We start from the raw sequence: 22,750 nt of genomic DNA, 5'->3' as shown, positions 1-22,750 counted from the left end.
GAGCTGCTCTGTCAAGAGGAAAGTTCAATTCTTGAAGTGGAACACAAACATCACAAAGCAGTTTCTGAGAATGCTTCTGTTTAGTTTTTCTGTGAAGATGAACCCGTTTCCAACGAAATCTTCACAGAGGTCCACATATCCACTTGCAGAATCCAAAGAAAGAGAGTTTCAAAACTGCTCCATCAACAGGATTGTTCACCTCTGTGAGTTGAATGCAGTCATCACAGGAAACATTCTGAGAATGCTTCTGTCTAGGTTTGATGTGAAGATATACCCGTTTCGAAGGAAGGCCACAAAGTGGTCCAAATATCCACTTGCAGATTCTACAAAAAGAGTGTTTGAAAGCTGAACTATGAAAGCAAGGTTCAACTCTGTGAGTTGAATGCAAACATCACAAAGAAGTTTCTCAGAATGCTTCCGTGTAGTTCTGGGAAGTTTATCCCGTTTCCAACGAAATCCTCAGAGAGGTCCAAATATCCACTTGCAGATTCTACAGAAAGTGTGTTTGGAAACTGCTCCATCTAAAGGAATGTTCAGCTCTGTTAGTTCAATCCAATGATCACTAAGAATTGTCTGTGAATGCTTCCGTTTGGTTTTTAGATGAAGTTCTTTCCTTTACTGCAGTAGGCCTCAAAGCAGTCCAAATCTCCAATCGCAGATTCTACAAAAAGATTGTTTACAACCTGCTCTATCTATAGGAATGTTCAACTCTGTGAGTCGAATGCAATCATCACAAAGTAGTTTCTGAGAATGCTTCCATCTAGTTTTTATGTGAAGATTTTCCTTTTGCACCACAGGCCTCAAAGCCCTCCAAATGTCCACTTGCAGATTCTAGAAAAAGAGGGTTTCAGAGCTGCTCTGTCAAGAGGAAAGTTCAATTCTTGATGTGGAACACAAACATCACAAAGCAGTTTCTGAGAATGCTCCTGTTTAGTTTTTCTGTGAAGATGAACCCGTTTCCAACGAAATCTTCACAGAGGTCCACATATCCACCTGCAGAATCCAAAGAAAGAGAGTTTCAAAACTGCTCCATCAGCAGGATTGTTCACCTCTGTGAGTTGAATGCAGTCATCACAGGAAACATTCTGAGAATGCTTCTGTCTAGGTTTGATGTGAAGATATACCCGTTTCGAAGGAAGGCCAGAAAGTGGTCCAAATATCCACTTGCAGATTCTACAAAAAGAGTGTTTGAAAGCTGAACTATGAAAGCAAGGTTCAACTCTGTGAGTTGAATGCAAACATCACAAAGAAGTTTCTCAGAATGCTTCCGTGTAGTTCTGGGAAGTTTATCCCGTTTCCAACGAAATCCTCAGAGAGGTCCAAATATCCACTTGCAGATTCTACGGAAAGTGTGTTTGGAAACTGCGCCATCTAAAGCAATGTTCAGCTCTGTTAGTTCAATGCAATGATCACTAAGAATTGTCTGTGAATGCTTCCGTTTGATTTTTAGATGAAGTTATTTCCTTTACTACAGTAGGCCTCAAAGCAGTCCAAATCTCCAATCGCAGATTCTACAAAAAGATTGTTTACAACCTGCTCTATCTATAGGAATGTTCAACTCTGTGAGTCGAATGCAATCATCACAAAGTAGTTTCTGAGAATGCTTCCATCTAGTTTTTATGTGAATATTTTCCTTTTGCACCACAGGCCTCAAAGCCCTCCAAATGTCCACTTGCAGATTCTAGAAAAAGAGGGTTTCAGAGCTGCTCTGTCAAGAGGAAAGTTCAATTCTTGAAGTGGAACACAAACATCACAAAGCAGTTTCTGAGAATGCTTCTGTTTAGTTTTTCTGTGAAGATGAACCCGTTTCCAACGAAATCTTCACAGAGGTCCACATATCCACTTGCAGAATCCAAAGAAAGAGAGTTTCAAAACTGCTCCATCAGCAGGATTGTTCACCTCTGTGAGTTGAATGCAGTCATCACAGGAAACATTCTGAGAATGCTTCTGTCTAGGTTTGATGTGAAGATATACCCTTTTCGAAGGAAGGCCACAAAGTGGTCCAAATATCCACTTGCAGATTCTACAAAAAGAGTGTTTGAAAGCTGAACTATGAAAGCAAGGTGCAAATCCTGTGAGTTGAATGCAAACATCACAAAGAAGTTTCTCAGAATGCTTTCCGTGTAGTTCTGGGAAGTTTAGCCCGTTTCCAACGAAATCCTCAGAGAGGTCCAAATATCCAGTGGCAGATTCTACAGAAAGTGTGTTTGGAAACTGCGCCATCTAAAGGAATGTTCAGCTCTGTTAGTTCAATCCAATGATCACTAAGAATTGTCTGTGAATGCTTCCGTTTGGTTTTTAGATGAAGTTATTTCCTTTACTACAGTAGGCCTCAAAGCAGTCCAAATCTCCAATCGCAGATTCTACAAAAAGATTGTTTACAACCTGCTCTATCTATAGGAATGTTCAACTCTGTGAGTCGAATGCAATCATCACAAAGTAGTTTCTGAGAATGCTTCCATCTAGTTTTTATGTGAAGATTTTCCTTTTCCACCACAGGCCTCAAAGCCCTCCAAATGTCCACTTGCAGATTCTAGAAAAAGAGGGTTTCAGAGCTGCTCTGTCAAGAGGAAAGTTCAATTCTTGAAGTGGAACAGAAACATCACAAAGCAGTTTCTGGGAATGCTTCTGTTTAGTTTTTCTGTGAAGATGAACCCGTTTCCAACGAAATCTTCACAGAGGTCCACATATCCACTTGCAGAATCCAAAGAAAGAGAGTTTCAAAACTGCTCCATCAGCAGGATTGTTCACCTCTGTGAGTTGAATGCAGTCATCACAGGAAACATTCTGAGAATGCTTCTGTCTAGGTTTGATGTGAAGATATACCCGTTTCGAAGGAAGGCCACAAAGTGGTCCAAATATCCACTTGCAGATTCTACAAAAAGAGTGTTTGAAAGCTGAACTATGAAAGCAAGGTTCAACTCTGTGAGTTGAATGCAAACATCACAAAGAAGTTTCTCAGAATGCTTCCGTGTAGTTCTGGGAAGTTTATCCCGTTTCCAACGAAATCCTCAGAGAAGTCCAAATATCCACTTGCAGATTCTACAGAAAGTGTGTTTGGAAACTGCTCCATCTAAAGGAATGTTCAGCTCTGTTAGTTCAATCCAATGATCACTAAGAATTGTCTGTGAATGCTTCCGTTTGGTTTTTAGATGAAGTTATTTCCTTTACTACAGTAGGCCTCAAAGCAGTCCAAATCTCCAATCGCAGATTCTACAAAAAGATTGTTTACAACCTGCTCTACTTATAGGAATGTTCAACTCTGTGAGTCGAATGCAATCATCACAAAGTAGTTTCTGAGAATGCTTCCATCTAGTTTTTATGTGAAGATTTTCCTTTTCCACCACAGGCCTCAAAGCCCTCCAAATGTCCACTTGCAGATTCTAGAATAAGAGGGTTTCAGAGCTGCTCTGTCAAGAGGAAAGTTCAATTCTTGAAGTGGAACACAAACATCACAAAGCAGTTTCTGAGAATGCTTCTGTTTAGTTTTTCTGTGAAGATGAACCCGTTTCCAACGAAATCTTCACAGAGGTCCACATATCCACTTGCAGAATCCAAAGAAAGAGAGTTTCAAAACTGCTCCATCAGCAGGATTGTTCACCTCTGTGAGTTGAATGCAGTCATCACAGGAAACATTCTGAGAATGCTTCTGTCTAGGTTTGATGTGAAGATATACCCGTTTCGAAGGAAGGCCACAAAGTGGTCCAAATATCCACTTGCAGATTCTACAAAAAGAGTGTTTGAAAGCTGAACTATGAAAGCAAGGTTCAACTCTGTGAGTTGAATGCAAACATCACAAAGAAGTTTCTCACAATGCTTCCGTGTAGTTCTGGGAAGTTTATCCCGTTTCCAACGAAATCCTCAGAGAGGTCCAAATATCCACTTGCAGATTCTACAGAAAGTGTGTTTGTAAACTGCGCCATCTAAAGGAATGTTCAGCTCTGTTAGTTCAATGCAATGATCACTAAGAATTGTCTGTGAATGCTTCCGTTTGGTTTTTAGATGAAGTTATTTCCTTTACTACAGTAGGCCTCAAAGCAGTCCAAATCTCCAATCGCAGATTCTACAAAAAGATTGTTTACAACCTGCTCTATCTATAGGAATGTTCAACTCTGTGAGTCGAATGCAATCATCACAAAGTAGTTTCTGAGAATGCTTCCATCTAGTTTTTATGTGAAGATTTTCCTTTTCCACCACAGGCCTCAAAGCCCTCCAAATGTCCACTTGCAGATTCTAGAATAAGAGGGTTTCAGAGCTGCTCTGTCAAGAGGAAAGTTCAATTCCTGAAGTGGAACACAAACATCACAAAGCAGTTTCTGAGAATGCTCCTGTTTAGTTTTTCTGTGAAGATGAACCCGTTTCCAACGAAATCTTCACAGAGGTCCACATATCCACTTGCAGAATCCAAAGAAAGAGAGTTTCAAAAGTGCTCCATCAGCAGGATTGTTCACCTCTGTGAGTTGAATGCAGTCATCACAGGAAACATTCTGAGAATGCTTCTGTCTAGGTTTGATGTGAAGATATACCCGTTTCGAAGGAAGGCCACAAAGTGGTCCAAATATCCACTTGCAGATTCTACAAAAAGAGTGTTTGAAAGCTGAACTATGAAAGCAAGGTTCAACTCTGTGAGTTGAATGCAAACATCACAAAGAAGTTTCTCAGAATGCTTCCGTGTAGTTCTGGGAAGTTTATCCCGTTTCCAACGAAATCCTCAGAGAAGTCCAAATATCCACTTGCAGATTCTACAGAAAGTGGGTTTGGAAACTGCTCCATCTAAAGGAATGTTCAGCTCTGTTAGTTCAATCCAATGATCACTAAGAATTGTCTGTGAATGCTTCCGTTTGGTTTTTAGATGAAGTTATTTCCTTTACTACAGTAGGCCTGAAAGCAGTCCAAATCTCCAATCGCAGATTCTACAAAAAGATTGTTTACAACCTGCTCTATCTATAGGAATGTTCAACTCTGTGAGTCGAATGCAATCATCACAAAGTAGTTTCTGAGAATGCTCCATCTAGTTTTTATGTGAAGATTTTCCTTTTCCACCACAGGCCTCAAAGCCCTCCAAATGTCCACTTGCAGATTCTAGAAAAAGAGGGTTTCAGAGCTGCTCTGTCAAGAGGAAAGTTCAATTCTTGAAGTGGAACACAAACATCACAAAGCAGTTTCTGAGAATGCTCCCTGTTTAGTTTTTCTGTGAAGATGAACCCGTTTCCAACGAAATCTTCACAGAGGTCCACATATCCACTTGCAGAATCCAAAGAAAGAGAGTTTCAAAACTGCTCCATCAGCAGGGATTGTTCACCTCTGTGAGTTGAATGCAGTCATCACAGGAAACATTCTGAGAATGCTTCTGTCTAGGTTTGATGTGAAGATATACCCGTTTCGAAGGAAGGCCACAAAGTGGTCCAAATATCCACTTGCAGATTCTACAAAAAGAGTGTTTGAAAGCTGAACTATGAAAGCAAGGTTCAACTCTGTGAGTTGAATGCAAACATCACAAAGAAGTTTCTCAGAATGCTTCCGTGTAGTTCTGGGAAGTTTATCCCGTTTCCAACGAAATCCTCAGAGAAGTCCAAATATCCACTTGCAGATTCTACAGAAAGTGTGTTTGGAAACTGCGCCATCTAAAGGAATGTTCAGCTCTGTTAGTTCAATGAAATGATCACTAAGAATTGTCTGTGAATGCTTCCGTTTGGTTTTTAGATGAAGTTATTTCCTTTACTACAGTAGGCCTCAAAGCAGTCCAAATCTCCAATCGGAGATTCTACAAAAAGATTGTTTACAACCTGCTCTATCTATAGGAATGTTCAACTCTGTGAGTCGAATGCAATCATCACAAAGTAGTTTCTGAGAATGCTTCCATCTAGTTTTATGTGAAGATTTTCCTTTTCCACCACAGGCCTCAAAGCCCTCCAAATGTCCACTTGCAGATTCTAGAAAAAGAGGTTTTCAGAGCTGCTCTGTCAAGAGGAAAGTTCAATTCTTGAAGTGGAACACAAACATCACAAAGCAGTTTCTGAGAATGCTTCTGTTTAGTTTTTCTGTGAAGATGAACCCGTTTCCAACGAAATCTTCACAGAGGTCCACATATCCACTTGCAGAATCCAAAGAAAGAGAGTTTCAAAACTGCTCCATCAGCAGGATTGTTCACCTCTGTGAGTTGAATGCAGTCATCACAGGAAACATTCTGAGAATGCTTCTGTCTAGGTTTGATGTGAAGATATACCCGTTTCGAAGGAAGGCCACAAAGTGGTCCAAATATCCACTTGCAGATTCTACAAAAAGAGTGTTTGAAAGCTGAACTATGAAAGCAAGGTTCAACTCTGTGAGTTGAATGCAAAAATCACAAAGAAGTTTCTCAGAATGCTTCCGTGTAGTTCTGGGAAGTTTATCCCGTTTCCAACGAAATCCTCAGAGAGGTCCAAATATCCACTTGCAGATTCTACAGAAAGTGTGTTTGGAAACTGCTCCGTCTAAAGGAATGTTCAGCTCTGTTAGTTCTATCCAATGATCACTAAGAATTGTCTGTGAATGCTTCCGTTTGGTTTTTAGATGAAGTTATTTCCTTTACTACAGTAGGCCTCAAAGCAGTCCAAATCTCCAATCGCAGATTCTACAAAAAGATTGTTTACAACCTGCTCTATCTATAGGAATGTTCAACTCTGTGAGTCGAATGCAATCATCACAAAGCAGTTTCTGAGAATGCTTCCATCTAGTTTTTATGTGAAGATTTTCCTTTTCCACCACAGGCCTCAAAGCCCTCCAAATGTCCACTTGCAGATTCTAGAAAAAGAGGGTTTCAGAGCTGCTCTGTCAAGAGGAAAGTTCAATTCTTGAAGTGGAACACAAACATCACAAAGTAGTTTCTGAGAATGCTCCTGTTTAGTTTTTCTGTGAAGATGAACCCGTTTCCAACGAAATCTTCACAGAGGTCCACATATCCACTTGCAGAATCCAAAGAAACAGAGTTTCAAAACTGCTCCATCAGCAGGATTGTTCACCTCTGTGAGTTGAATGCAGTCATCACAGGAAACATTCTGAGAATGCTTCTGTCTAGGTTTGATGTGAAGATATACCCGTTTCGAAGGAAGGCCACAAAGTTGTCCAAATATCCACTTGCAGATTCTACAAAAAGAGTGTTTGAAAACTGAACTATGAAAGCAAGGTTCAACTCTGTGAGTTGAATGCAAACATCACAAAGAAGTTTCTCAGAATACTTCCGTGTAGTTCTGGGAAGTTTATCCCGTTTCCAACGAAATCCTCAGAGAGTTCCAAATATCCACTTGCAGATTCTACAGAAAGTGTGTTTGGAAACTCCTCCATCTAAAGGAATGTTCAGCTCTGTTAGTTCAATCCAATGATCACTAAGAATTGTCTGTGAATGCTTCCGTTTGGTTTTTAGATGAAGTTATTTCCTTTACTACAGTAGGCCTCAAAGCAGTCCAAATCTCCAATCGCAGATTCTACAAAAAGATTGTTTACAACCTGCTCTATCTATAGGAATGTTCAACTCTGTGAGTCGAATGCAATCATCACAAAGTAGTTTCTGAGAATGCTTCCATCTAGTTTTTATGTGAAGATTTTCCTTCTCCACCACAGGCCTCAAAGCCCTCCAAATGTCCACTTGCAGATTCTAGAAAAAGAGGGTTTCAGAGCTGCTCGGTCAAGAGGAAAGTTCAATTCTTGAAGTGGAACACAAACATCACAAAGCAGTTTCTGAGAATGCTCCTGTTTAGTTTTTCTGCGAAGATGAACCCGTTTCCAACGAAATCTTCACAGAGTTCCACATATCCACTTGCAGAATCCAAAGAAAGAGAGTTTCAAAACTGCTCCAACAGCAGGATTGTTCACCTCTGTGAGTTGAATGCAGTCATCACAGGAAACATTCTGAGAATGCTTCTGTCTAGGTTTGATGTGAAGATATACCCGTTTCGAAGGAAGGCCACAAAGTTGTCAAATATCCACTTGCGGATCCTACAAAAAGAGTGTTTGAAAGCTGAACTATGAAAGCAAGGTTCAACTCTGTGAGTTGAATGCAAACATCACAAAGAAGTTTCTCAGAATGCTTCCGTGTAGTTCTGGGAAGTTTATCCCGTTTCCAACGAAATCCTCAGAGAGGTCCAAATATCCACTTGCAGATTCTACAGAAAGTGTGTTTGGAAACTGCTCCATCTAAAGGAATGTTCAGCTCTGTTAGTTCAATCCAATGATCACTAAGAATTGTCTGTGAATGCTTCCGTTTGGTTTTTAGATGAAGTTATTTCCTTTACTACAGTAGGCCTCAAAGCAGTAAAATCTCCAATCGCAGATTCTACAAAAAGATTGTTTACAACCTGCTCTATCTATAGGAATGTTCAACTCTGTGAGTCGAATGCAATCATCGCAAAGTAGTTTCTGAGAATGCTTCCATCTAGTTTTTATGTGAAGATTTTCCTTTTCCACCACAGGCCTCAAAGCCCTCCAAATGTCCACTTGCAGATTCTAGAAAAAGAGGGTTTCAGAGCTGCTCTGTCAAGAGGAAAGTTCAATCCTTGAAGTGGAACACAAACATCACAAAGCAGTTTCTGAGAATTCTCCTGTTTAGTTTTTCTGTGAAGATGAACCCGTTTCCAACGAAATCTTCACAGAGGTCCACATATCCACTTGCAGAATCCAAAGAAAGAGAGTTTCAAAACTGCTCCATCAGCAGGATTGTTCACCTCTGTGAGTTGAATGCAGTCATCACAGGAAACATTCTGAGAATGCTTCTGTCTAGGTTTGATGTGAAGATATACCCGTTTCGAAGGAAGGCCACAAAGTGGTCCAAATATCCAGTTGCAGATTCTACAAAAAGAGTGTTTGAAAGCTGAACTATGAAAGCAAGGTTCAACTCTGTGAGTTGAATGCAAACATCACAAAGAAGTTTCTCACAATGCTTCCGTGTAGTTCTGGGAAGTTTATCCCGTTTCCAACGAAATCCTCAGAGAAGTCCAAATATCCACTTGCAGATTCTACAGAAAGTGTGTTTGGAAAATGCTCCATCTAAAGGAATGTTCAGCTCTGTTAGTTCAATGCAATGATCACTAAGAATTGTCTGTGAATGCTTCCGTTTGATTTTTAGATGAAGTTATTTCCTTTACTACAGTAGGCCTCAAAGCAGTCCAAATCTCCAATCGCAGATTCTACAAAAAGATTGTTTTCAACCTGCTCTATCTATAGGAATGTTCAACTCTGTGAGTCGAATGCAATCATCACAAAGTAGTTTCTGAGAATGCTTCCATCTAGTTTTTATGGGAAGATTTTCCTTTTCCACCACAGGCCTCAAAGCCCTCCAAATGTCCACTTGCAGATTCTAGAAAAAGAGGGTTTCAGAGCTGCTCTGTCAAGAGGAAAGTTCAATTCTTGAAGTGGAACACAAACATCACAAAGCAGTTTCTGAGAATGCTTCTGTTTAGTTTTTCTGTGAAGATGAACCCGTTTCCAACGAAATCTTCACAGAGGTCCACATATCAACTTGCAGAATCCAAAGAAAGAGAGTTTCAAAACTGCTTCATCAACAGGATTGTTCACCTCTGTGAGTTGAATGCAGTCATCACAGGAAACATTACTGAGAATGCTTCTGTCTAGGTTTGATGTGAAGATATACCCGTTTCGAAGGAAGGCCACAAAGTGGTCCAAATATCCACTTGCAGATTCTACAAAAAGAGTGTTTGAAAGCTGAACTATGAAAGCAAGGTTCAACTCTGTGAGTTGAATGCAAACATCACAAAGAAGTTTCTCAGAATGCTTCCGTGTAGTTCTGGGAAGTTTATCTCGTTTCCAACGAAATCCTCAGAGAAGTCCAAATATCCACTTGCAGATTCTACAGAAAGTGGGTTTGGAAACTGCGCCATCTAAAGGAATGTTCAGCTCTGTTAGTTCAATCCAATAGATCACTAAGAATTGTCTGTGAATGCTTCCGTTTGTTTTTTAGATGAAGTTATTTCCTTTACTACAGTAGGCCTCAAAGCAGTCCAAATCTCCAATCGCAGATTCTACAAAAAGATTGTTTACAACCTGCTCTATCTATAGGAATGTTCAACTCTGTGAGTCGAATGCAATCATCACAAAGGAGTTTCTGAGAATGCTTCCATCTAGTTTTTATGTGAAGATTTTCCTTTTCCACCACAGGCCTCAAAGGCCCTCCAAATGTCCACTTGCAGATTCTAGAATAAGAGGGTTTCAGAGCTGCTCGGTCAAGAGGAAAGTTCAATTCTTGAAGTGGAACACAAACATCACAAAGCAGTTTCTGAGAATGCTCCTGTTTAGTTTTTCTGTGAAGATGAACCCGTTTCCAACGAAATCTTCACAGAGGTCCACATATCCACTTGCAGAATCCAAAGAAAGAGAGTTTCAAAACAGCTCCATCAGCAGGATTGTTCACCTCTGTGAGTTGAATGCAGTCATCACAGGAAACATTCTGAGAATGCTCTGTCTAGGTTTGATGTGAAGATATACCCGTTTCGAAGGAAGGCCACAAAGTGGTCCAAATATCCACTTGCAGATTCTACAAAAAGAGTGTTTGAAAGCTGAACTATGAAAGCAAGGTTCAACTCTGTGAGTTGAATGCAAACATCACAAAGAAGTTTCTCAGAATGCTTTCCCTGTAGTTCTGGGAAGTTTATCCCGTTTCCAACGAAATCCTCAGAGAAGTCCTAATATCCACTTGCAGATTCTACAGAAAGTGTGTTTGGAAACTGCTCCATCTAAAGGAATGTTCAGCTCTGTTAGTTCAATCCAATGATCACTAAGAATTGTCTGTGAATGCTTTCCGTTTGGTTTTTAGATGAAGTTATTTCCTTTACTACAGTAGGCCTCAAAGCTGTCCAAATCTCTAATCGCAGATTCTACAAAAAGATTGTTTACAACCTGGTCTCTCTATAGGAATGTTCAACTCTGTGAGTCGAATGCAATCATCACAAAGTAGTTTCTGAGAATGCTTCCATCTAGTTTTTATGTGAAGATTTTCCATTTCCACCACAGGCCTCAAAGCCCTCCAAATGTCCACTTGCAGATTCTAGAAAAAGAGGGTTTCAGAGCTGCTCTGTCAAGAGGAAAGTTCAATTCCTGAAGTGGAACACAAATATCACAAAGCAGTTTCTGAGAATGCTCCTGTTTAGTTTTTCTGTGAAGATGAACCCGTTTCCAACGAAATCTTCACAGAGGTCCACATATCCACTTGCAGAATCCAAAGAAAGAGAGTTTCAAAACTGCTCCATCAGCAGGATTGTTCACCTCTGTGAGTTGAATGCAGTCATCACAGGAAACATTCTGAGAATGCTTCTGTCTAGGTTTGATGTGAAGATATACCCGTTTCGAAGGAAGGCCACAAAGTGGTCCAAATATCCACTTGCAGATTCTACAAAAAGAGTGTTTGAAAGCTGAACTATGAAAGCAAGGTTCAACTCTGTGAGTTGAATGCAAACATCACAAAGAAGTTTCTCACAATGCTTCCGTGTAGTTCTGGGAAGTTTATCCCGTTTCCAACGAAATCCTCAGAGAAGTCCAAATATCCACTTGCAGATTCTACAGAAAGTGTGTTTGGAAAATGCTCCATCTAAAGGAATGTTCAGCTCTGTTAGTTCAATCCAATGATCACTAAGAATTGTCTGTGAATGCTTCCATTTGGTTTTTAGATGAAGTTATTTCCTTTACTACAGTAGGCCTCAAAGCAGTCCAAATCTCCAATCGCAGATTCTACAAAAAGATTGTTTACAACCTGCTGTATCTATAGGAATGTTCAACTCTGTGAGTCGAATGCAATCATCACAAAGTAGTTTCTGAGAATGCTTCCATCTAGTTTTTATGTGAAGATTTTCCTTTTCCACCACAGGCCTCAAAGCCCTCCAAATGTCCACTTGCAGATTCTAGAAAAAGAGGGTTTCAGAGCTGCTCTGTCAAGAGGAAAGTTCAATTCCTGAAGTGGAAAACAAACATCACAAAGCAGTTTCTGAGAATGCTCCTGTTTAGTTTTTCTGTGAAGATGAACCCGTTTCCAACGAAATCTTCACAGAGGTCCACATATCCACTTGCAGAATCCAAAGAAAGAGAGTTTCAAAACTGCTCCATCAGCAGGATTGTTCACCTCTGTGAGTTGAATGCAGTCATCACAGGAAACATTCTGAGAATGCTTCTGTCTAGGTTTGATGTGAAGATATACCCGTTTCGAAGGAAGGCCACAAAGTGGTCCAAATATCCACTTGCAGATTCTACAAAAAGAGTGTTTGAAAGCTGAACTATGAAAGCAAGGTTCAACTCTGTGAGTTGAATGCAAACATCACAAAGAAGTTTCTCAGAATGCTTCCGTGTAGTTCTGGGAAGTTTATCCCGTTTCCAACGAAATCCTCAGAGAGGTCCAAATATCCACTTGCAGATTCTACAGAAAGTGTGTTTGGAAACTGCGCCATCTAAAGGAATGTTCAGCTCTGTTAGTTCAATGCAATGATCACTAAGGATTGTCTGTGAATGCTTCCGTTTGGTTTTTAGATGAAGTTATTTCCTTCACTACAGTAGGCCTCAAAGCAGTCCAAATCTCCAATCGCAGATTCTACAAAAAGATTGTTTACAACCTGGTCTATCTATAGGAATGTTCAACTCTGTGAGTCGAATGCAATCATCACAAAGTAGTTTCTGAGAATGCTTCCATCTAGTTTTTCTGTGAAGATTTTCCTTTTCCACCACAGGCCTCAAAGCCCTCCAAATGTCCACTTGCAGATTCTAGAATAAGAGGGTTTCAGAGCTGCTCATTCAAGAGGAAAGTTCAATTCCTGAAGTGGAACACAGACATCACAAAGCAGTTTCTGAGAATGCTCCTGTTTAGTTTTTCTGTGAAGATGAACCCGTTTCCAACGAAATCTTCACAGAGGTCCACATATCCACTTGCAGAATCCAAAGAAAGAGAGTTTCAAAACTGCTCCATCAGCAGGATTGTTCACCTCTGTGAGTTGAATGCAGTCATCACAGGAAACATTCGGAGAATGCTTCTGTCTAGGTTTGATGTGAACATATACCCGTTTCGAAGGAAGGCCACAAAGTGGTCCAAATATCCACTTGCAGAATCTACAAAAAGAGTGTTTGAAAGCTGAACTATGAAAGCAAGGTTAAACTCTGTGAGTTGAATGCAAACATCACAAAGAAGTTTCTCAGAATGCTTCCGTGTAGTTCTGGGAAGTTTATCCCATTTCCAACGAAATCCTCAGAGAAGTCCAAATATCCACTTGCAGATTCTACAGAAATTGGGTTTGGAACCTGCTCCATCTAAAGGAATATTCAGCTCTGTTAGTTCAATCCAATGATCACTAAGAATTGTCTGTGAATGCTTCCGTTTGGTTTTTAGATGAAGTTATTTCCTTTACTACAGTAGGCCTCAAAGCAGTCCAAATCTCCAATCGCAGATTCTACAAAAAGATTGTTTACAACCTGCTCTATCTATAGGAATGTTCAACTCTGTGAGTCGAATGCAATCATCACATAGTAGTTTCTGAGAATGCTTCCATCTAGTTTTTATGTGAAGATTTTCCTTTTCCACCACAGGCCTCAAAGCCCTCCAAATGTCCACTTGCAGATTCTAGAATAAGAGGGTTTCAGAGCTGCTCTGTCAAGAGGAAAGTTCAATTCTTGAAGTGGAACACAAACATCACAAAGCAGTTTCTGAGAATGCTTCTGTTTAGTTTTTCTGTGAAGATGAACCCGTTTCCAACGAAATCTTCACAGAGGTCCACATATCCACTTGCAGAATCCAAAGAAAGAGAGTTTCAAAACTGCTCCATCAGCAGGATTGTTCACCTCTGTGAGTTGAATGCAGTCATCACAGGTAACATTCTGAGAATGCTTCTGTCTAGGTTTGATGTGAAGATATACCCGTTTCGAAGGAAGGCCACAAAGTGGTCCAAATATCCACTTGCAGATTCCACAAAAAGAGTGTTTGAAAGCTGAACTATGAAAGCAAGGTTCAACTCTGTGAGTTGAATGCTAACATCACAGAGAAGTTTCTCACAATGCTTCCGTGTAGTTCTGGGAAGTTTATCCCGTTTCCAACGAAATCCTCAGAGAAGTCCAAATATCCACTTGCAGATTCTACAGAAAGTGTGTTTGGAAACTGCGCCATCTAAAGGAATGTTCAGCTCTGTTAGTTCAATGCAATGATCACTAAGAATTGTCTGTGAATGCTTCCGTTTGGTTTTTAGATGAAGTTATTTCCTTTACTACAGTAGGCCTCAAAGCAGTCCAAATCTCCAATCGCAGATTCTACAAAAAGATTGTTTACAACCTGCTCTATCTATAGGAATGTTCAACTCTGTGAGTCGAATGCAATCATCACAAAGTAGTTTCTGAGAATGCTTCCATCTAGTTTTTATGTGAAGATTTTCCTTTTCCACCACAGGCCTCAAAGCCCTCCAAATGTCCACTTGCAGATTCTAGAAAAAGAGGGTTTCAGAGCTGCTCTGTCAAGAGGAAATTTCAATTCCTGAAGTGGAACACAAACATCACAAAGCAGTTTCTGAGAATGCTTCTGTTTAGTTTTTCTGTGAAGATGAACCCGTTTCCAACGAAATCTTCACAGAGGTCCACATATCCACTTGCAGAATCCAAAGAAAGAGAGTTTCAAAACTGCTCCATCAGCAGGATTGTTCACCTCTGTGAGTTGAATGCAGTCATCACAGGAAACATTCTGAGAATGCTTCTGTCTAGGTTTGATGTGAAGATATACCCGTTTCGAAGGAAGGCCACAAAGTGGTCCAAATATCCACTTGCAGATTCTACAAAAAGAGTGTTTGAAAGCTGAACTATGAAAGCAAGGTTCAACTCTGTGAGTTGAATGCAAACATCACAAAGAAGTTTCTCAGAATGCTTCCGTGTAGTTCTGGGAAGTATATCCCGTTTCCAACGAAATCCTCAGAGAGGTCCAAATATCCACTTGCAGATTCTACAGAAATTGGGTTTGGAAACTGCTCCATCTAAAGGAATGTTCAGCTCTGTTAGTTCAATCCAATGATCACTAAGCATTGTCTGTGAATGCTTCCGTTTGGTTTTTAGATGAAGTTATTTCCTTTACTACAGTAGGTCTCAAAACAGTCCAAATATCCAATCGCGGATTCTACAAAAAGATTGTTTACAACCTGCTCTATCTATAGGAATGTTCAACTCTGTGAGTCGAATGCAATCATCAGAAAGTAGTTTCTGAGAATGCTTCCATCTAGTTTTTATGTGAAGATTTTCCTTTTCCACCACAGGCCTCAAAGCCCACCAAATGTCCACTTGCAGATTCTAGAAAAAGAGGGTTTCAGAGCTGCTCTGTCAAGAGGAAAGTTCAATTCTTGAAGTGGAACACAAACATCACAAAGCAGTTTCTGAGAATGCTCCTGTATAGTTTTTCTGTGAAGATGAACCCGTTTCCAACGAAATCTTCACAGAGGTCCACATATCCACTTGCAGAATCCAAAGAAAGAGAGTTTCAAAACTGCTCCATCGGCAGGATTGTTCACCTCTGTGAGTTGAATGCAGTCATCACAGGAAACATTCTGAGAATGCTTCTGTCTAGGTTTGATGTGAAGATATACCCGTTTCGAAGGAAGGCCACAAAGTGGTCCCAAATATCCACTTGCAGATTCTACAAAAAGAGTGTTTGAAAGCTGAACTATGAAAGCAAGGTTCAACTCTGTGAGTTGAATGCAAACATCACAAAGAAGTTTCTCAGAATGCTTCCGTGTAGTTCTGGGAAGTTTATCCCGTTTCCAACGAAATCCTCAGAGAAGTCCAAATATCCACTTGCAGATTCTACAGAAAGTGTGTTTGGAAACTGCTCCATCTAAAGGAATGTTCAGCTCTGTTAGTTCAATCCAATGATCACTAAGAATTGTCTGTGAATGCTTCCGTTTGGTTTTTAGATGAAGTTATTTCCTTTACTACAGTAGGCCTCAAAGCAGTCCAAATCTCCAATCGCAGATTCTACAAAAAGATTGTTTACAACCTGCTCTATCTATAGGAATGTTCAACTCTGTGAGTCGAATGCAATCATCACAAAGTAGTTTCTGATAATACTTCCATCTAGTTTTTATGTGAAGATTTTCCTTTTCCACCACAGGCCTCAAAGCCGTCCAAATGTCCACTTGCAGATTCTAGAAAAAGAGGGTTTCAGAGCTGCTCTGTCAAGAGGAAAGTTCAATTCTTGAAGTGGAACACAAACATCACAAAGCAGTTTACTGAGAATGCTCCTGTTTAGTTTTTCTGTGAAGATGAACCCGTTTCCAACGAAATCTTCACAGAGGTCCACATATCCACTTGCAGAATCCAAAGAAAGGGAGTTTCAAAACTGCTCCATCAGCAGGATTGTTCACCTCTGTGAGTTGAATGCAGTCATCACAGGAAACATTCTGCGCATGCTTCTGTCTAGGTTTGATGTGAAGATATACCCGTTTCGAAGGAAGGCCAAAAAGTGGTCCAAATATCCACTTGCAGATTCTACAAAAAGAGTGTTTGAAAGCTGAACTATGAAATCAAGGTCCAACTCTGTGAGTTGAATGCAAACATCACAAAGAAGTTTCTCAGAATGCTTCCGTGTAGTTCTGGGAAGTTTATCCCGTTTCCAACGAAATCCTCAGAGAAGTCCAAATATCCACTTGCAGATTCTACAGAAAGTGTGTTTGGAAACTGCTCCATCTAAAGGAATGTTCAGCTCTGTTAGTTCAATGCAATGATCACTAAGAATTGTCTGTGAATGCTTCCGTTTGGTTTTTAGATGAAGTTATTTCCTTTACTACAGTAGGCCTCAAAGCAGTCCAAATCTCCAATCGCAGATTCTACAAAAAGATTGTTTACAACCTGCTCTATCTATAGGAATGTTCAACTCTGTGAGTCGAATGCAACCATCACAAAGTAGTTTCTGAGAATGCTTCCATCTAGTTTTTATGGGAAGATTTTCCTTTTCCACCACAGGCCTCAAAGCCCTCCAAATGTCCACTTGCAGATTCTAGAAAAAGAGGGTTTCAGAGCTGCTCTGTCAAGAGGAAAGTTCAATTCTTGAAGTGGAACACAAACATCACAAAGCAGTTTCTGAGAATGCTTCTGTTTAGTTTTTCTGTGAAGATGAACCCGTTTCCAACGAAATCTTCACAGAGGTCCACATATCAACTTGCAGAATCCAAAGAAAGAGAGTTTCAAAAGTGCTCCATCAACAGGATTGTTCACCTCTGTGAGTTGAATGCAGTCATCACAGGAAACATTCTGAGAATGCTTCTGTCTAGGTTTGATGTGAAGATGTACCCGTTTCAAAGGAAAGCCACAAAGTGGTCCAAATATCCACTTGCAGATTCTACAAAAAGAGTGTTTGAAAGCTGAACTATGAAAGCAAGGTTCAACTCTGTGAGTTGAATGCAAACATCACAAAGATGTTTCTCACAATGCTTCCGTGTAGTTCTGGGAAGTTTATCCCGTTTCCAACGAAATCCTCAGAGAAGTCCAAATATCCACTTGCAGATTCTACAGAAAGTGTGTTTGGAAACTGCTCCATCTAAAGGAATGTTCAGCTCTGTTAGTTCAATCCAATGATCACTAAGAATTGTCTGTGAATGCTTCCGTTTGTTTTTTAGATGAAGTTATTTCCTTTACTACAGTAGGCCTCAAAGCAGTCCAAATCTCCAATCGCAGATTCTACAAAAAGATTGTTTACAACCTGCTCTATCTATAGGAATGTTCAACTCTGTGAGTCGAATGCAATCATCACAAAGTAGTTTCTGATAATGCTTCCATCTAGTTTTTATGTGAAGATTTTCCTTTTCCACCACAGGCCTCAAAGCCCTCCAAATGTCCACTTGCAGATTCTAGAATAAGAGGGTTTCAGAGCTGTTCTGTCAAGAGGAAAGTTCAATTCCTGAAGTGGAACACAAACATCACAAAGCAGTTTCTGAGAATGCTTCTGTTTAGTTTTTCTGTGAAGATGAACCCGTTTCCAACGAAATCTTCACAGAGGTCCACATATCAACTTGCAGAATCCAAAGAAAGAGAGTTTCAAAACTGCTCCATCAGCAGGATTGTTCACCTCTGTGAGTTGAATGCAGTCATCACAGGAAAAATTCTGAGAATGCTTCTGTCTAGATTTGATGTGAAGATATACCCGTTTCGAAGGAAGGCCACAAAGTGGTCCAAATATCCACTTGCAGATTCTACAAAAAGAGGGTTTGAAAGCTGAACTATGAAAGCAAGCTTCAACCCTCTGAGTTGAATGCAAACATCACAAAGAAGTTTCTCAGAATGCTTCCGTGTAGTTCTGGGAAGTTTATCCCGTTTCCAACGAAATTCTCAGAGAAGTCCAAATATCCACTTGCAGATTCTACAGAAAGTGGGTTTGGAAACTGCTCCATCTAAAGGAATGTTCAGCTCTGTTAGTTCAATCCAATGATCACTAAGAATTGTCTGTGAATGCTTTCCGTTTGGTTTTTAGATGAAGTTATTTCCTTTACTACAGTAGGCCTCAAAGCAGTCCAAATCTCCAATCGCAGATTCTACAAAAAGATGGTTTACAACCTGCTCTATCTATAGGAATGTTCAACTCTGTGAGTCGAATGCAATCATCACAAAGTAGATTCTGAGAATGCTTCCATCTAGTTTTTATGTGAAGATTTTCCTTTTCCACCACAGGCCTCAAAGCCCTCCAAATGTCCACTTGCAGATTCTAGAAAAAGAGGGTTTCAGAGCTGCTCTGTCAAGAGGAAAGTTCAATTCTTGAAGTGGAACACAAACATCACAAAGTAGTTTCTGAGAATGCTCCTGTTATTTTTTCTGTGAAGATGAACCCGTTTCCAACGAAATCTTCACAGAGGTCCACATATCCACTTGCAGAATCCAAAGAAAGAGAGTTTCAAAAGTGCTCCATCAACAGGATTGTTCACCTCTGTGAGTTGAATGCAGTCATCACAGGAAACATTCTGAGAATGCTTCTGTCTAGGTTTGATGTGAAGATATACCCGTTTCGAAAGAAGGCCACAAAGTGGTCCAAATATCCACTTGCAGATTCTACAAAAAGAGGGTTTGAAAGCTGAACTATGAAAGCAAGGTTCAACTCTGTGAGTTGAATGCAAACATCACAAAGAAGTTTCTCAGAATGCTTCCGTGTAGTTCTGGGAAGTTTATCCCTTTTCCAACGAAATCCTCAGAGAAGTCCAAATATCCACTTGCAGATTCTACAGAAAGTGGGTTTGGAAACTGCTCCATCTAAAGGAATGTTCAGCTCTGTTAGTTCAATCCAATGATCACTAAGAATTGTCTGTGAATGCTTCCGTTTGGTTTTTAGATGAAGTTATTTCCTTTACTACAGTAGGCCTCAAAGCAGTCCAAATCTCCAATCGCAGATTCTACAAAAAGATTGTTTACAACCTGCTCTATCTATAGGAATGTTCAACTCTGTGAGTCGAATGCAATCATCACAAAGGAGTTTCTGAGAATGCTTCCATCTAGTTTTTATGTGAAGATTTTCCTTTTCCACCACAGGCCTCAAAGCCCTCCAAATGTCCACTTGCAGATTCTAGAATAAGAGGGTTTCAGAGCTGCTCTGTCAAGAGGAAAGTTCAATTCCTGAAGTGGAACACAAACATCACAAAGCAGTTTCTGAGAATGCTTCTGTTTAGTTTTTCTGTGAAGATGAACCCGTTTCCAACGAAATCTTCACAGAGGTCCACATATCAACTTGCAGAATCCAAAGAAAGAGAGTTTCAAAACTGCTCCATCAACAGGATTGTTCACCTCTGTGAGTTGAATGCAGTCATCACAGGAAACATTCTGAGAATTCTTCTGTCTAGGTTTGATGTGAAGATATACCCTTTTCGAAGGAAGGCCACAAAGTGGTCCAAATATCCACTTGCAGATTCTACAAAAAGAGTGTTTGAAAGCTGAACTATGAAAGCAAGGTGCAAATCCTGTGAGTTGAATGCAAACATCACAAAGAAGTTTCTCAGAATGCTTTCCGTGTAGTTCTGGGAAGTTTATCCCGTTTCCAACGAAATCCTCAGAGAAGTCCAAATATCCAGTGGCAGATTCTACAGAAAGTGTGTTTGGAAACTGCGCCATCGAAAGGAATGTTCAGCTCTGTTAGTTCAATCCAATGATCACTAAGAATTGTCTGTGAATGCTTCCGTTTGGTTTTTAGATGAAGTTATTTCCTTTACTACAGTAGGCCTCAAAGCAGTCCAAATCTCCAATCGCAGATTCTACAAAAAGATTGTTTACAACCTGCTCTATCTATAGGAATGTTCAACTCTGTGAGTCGAATGCAATCATCACAAAGTAGTTTCTGAGAATGCTTCCATCTAGTTTTTATGTGAAGATTTTCCTTTTCCACCACAGGCCTCAAAGCCCTCCAAATGTCCACTTGCAGATTCTAGAAAAAGAGGGTTTCAGAGCTGCTCTGTCAAGAGGAAAGTTCAATTCTTGAAGTGGAACACAAACATCACAAAGCAGTTTCTGAGAATGCTTCTGTTTAGTTTTTCTGTGAAGATGAACCCGTTTCCAACGAAATCTTCACAGAGGTCCACATATCCACTAGCAGAATCCAAAGAAAGAGAGTTTCAAAACTGCTCCATCAGCAGGATTGTTCACCTCTGTGAGTTGAATGCAGTCATCACAGGAAACATTCTGAGAATGCTTCTGTCTAGGTTTGATGTGAAGATATACCAGTTTCAAAGGAAGGCCACAAAGTGGTCCAAATATCCACTTGCAGATTCTACAAAAAGAGTGTTTGAAAGCTGAACTATGAAAGCAAGGTTCAACTCTGTGACTTGAATGCAAACATCACAAAGAAGTTTCTCACAATGCTTCCGTGTAGTTCTGGGAAGTTTATCCCATTTCCAACGAAATCCTCAGAGAAGTCCAAATATCCACTTGCAGATTCTACAGAAAGTGTGTTTGGAAACAGCCCCATCTAAAGGAATGTTCAGCTCTGTTAGTTCAATCCAATGATCACTAAGAATTGTCTGTGAATGCTTCCGTTAGGTTTTTAGATGAAGTTATTTCCTTTACTACAGTAGGCCTCAAAGCAGTCCAAATCTCCAATCGCAGATTCTACAAAAAGATTGTTTACAACCTGCTCTATCTATAGGAATGTTCAACTCTGTGAGTCGAATGCAATCATCACAAAGTAGTTTCTGAGAATGCTTCCATCTAGTTTTTATGTGAAGATTTTCCTTTTCCACCGCAGGCCTCAAAGCCCTCCAAATGTCAACTTGCAGATTCTAGAAAAAGAGGGTTTCAGAGCTGCTCTGTCAAGAGGAAAGTTCAATTCCTGAAGTGGAACACAAACATCACAAAGCAGTTTGCTGAGAATGCTTCCTGTTTAGTTTTTCTGTGAAGATGAACCCGTTTCCAACGAAATCTTCACAGAGGTCCACATATCCACTTGCAGAATCCAAAGAAAGAGAGTTTCAAAACTGCTCCATCAGCAGGATTGTTCACCTCTGTGAGTTGAATGCAGTCATCACAGGAAACATTCTGAGAATGCTTCTGTCTAGGTTTGATGTGAAGATATACCCGTTTCGAAGGAAGGCCACAAAGTGGTCCAAATATCCACTTGCAGATTCTACAAAAAGAGTGTTTGAAAGCTGAACAATGAAAGCAAGGTTCAACTCTGTGAGTTGAATGCCAACATCACAAAGAAGTTTCTCACAATGCTTCCGTGTAGTTCTGGGAAGTTTATCCCGTTTCCAACGAAATCCTCAGAGAAGTCCAAATATCCACTTGCAGATTCTACAGAAAGTGTGTTTGGAAACTGCGCCATCTAAAGGAATGTTCAGCTCTGTTAGTTCAATGCAATGATCACTAAGAATTGTCTGTGAATGCTTCCGTTTGGTTTTTAGATGAAGTTATTTCCTTTACTACAGTAGGCCTCAAAGCAGTCCAAATCTCCAATCGCAGATTCTACAAAAAGATTGTTTACAACCTGCTCTATCTATAGGCATGTTCAACTCTGTGAATCGAATGCAATCATCACAAAGTAGTTTCTGAGAATGCTTCCATAAAGTTTTTATGTGAAGATTTTCCTTTTCCACCACAGGCCTCAAAGCCTTCCAAATGTCCACTTGCAAATTCTAGAAAAAGAGGGTTTCAGAGCTGCTCTGTCAAGAGGAAAGTTCAATTCTTTAAGTGGAACACAAACATCACAAAGCAGTTTCTGAGAATGCTCCTGTTTAGTTTTTCTGTGAAGATGAACCCGTTTCCAACGAAATCTTGACAGAGGTCCACATATCCACTTGCAGAATCCAAAGAAAGAGAGTTTCAAAACTGCTCCATCAACAGGATTGTTCACCTCTATGAGATGAATGCAGTCATCACAGGAAACATTCTGAGAATGCTTCTGTCTAGGTTTGATGTGAAGATATACCCGTTTCGAAGGAAGGCCACAAAGTGGTCCAAATATCCACTTGCAGATTCTACAAAAAGAGTGTTTGAAAGCTGAACTATTAAAGCAAGGTTCAACTCTGTGAGTTGAATGCAAACATCACAAAGAAGTTTCTCAGAATGCTTCCGTGTAGTTCTGGGAATTTTATCCCGTTTCCAACGAAATCCTCAGAGAAGTCCAAATATCCACTTGCAGATTCTACAGAAAGTGGGTTTGGAAACTGCGCCATCTAAAGGAATGTTCAGCTCTGTTAGTTCACTCCAATGATCACTAAGAATTGTCTGTGAATGCTTCCGTTTGGTTTTTAGATGAAGTTATTTCCTTTACTACAGTAGGCCTCAAAGCAGT

General features: G+C 40.1%; 1 annotated feature.

Moving 5' to 3' along the window:
• Nucleotides 1–22,750: part of a centromere (Linear centromere model derived predominantly from reads generated in PMID: 17803354. This region does not represent an actual centromere sequence, as long-range ordering of repeats and unmapped WGS contigs is not provided by the model. For details of model production, see http://arxiv.org/abs/1307.0035.) that runs on past both edges of the window.

The sequence above is a fragment of the Homo sapiens genome, chromosome 11 (assembly GCF_000001405.40).
Source record: "Homo sapiens chromosome 11, GRCh38.p14 Primary Assembly".
Classification (NCBI taxonomy): Eukaryota; Metazoa; Chordata; class Mammalia; order Primates; family Hominidae; genus Homo; species Homo sapiens.
The sequence above is the reverse complement of the archived record's forward strand: the minus strand, read 5'-3'. Positions and strand labels throughout refer to the sequence as shown.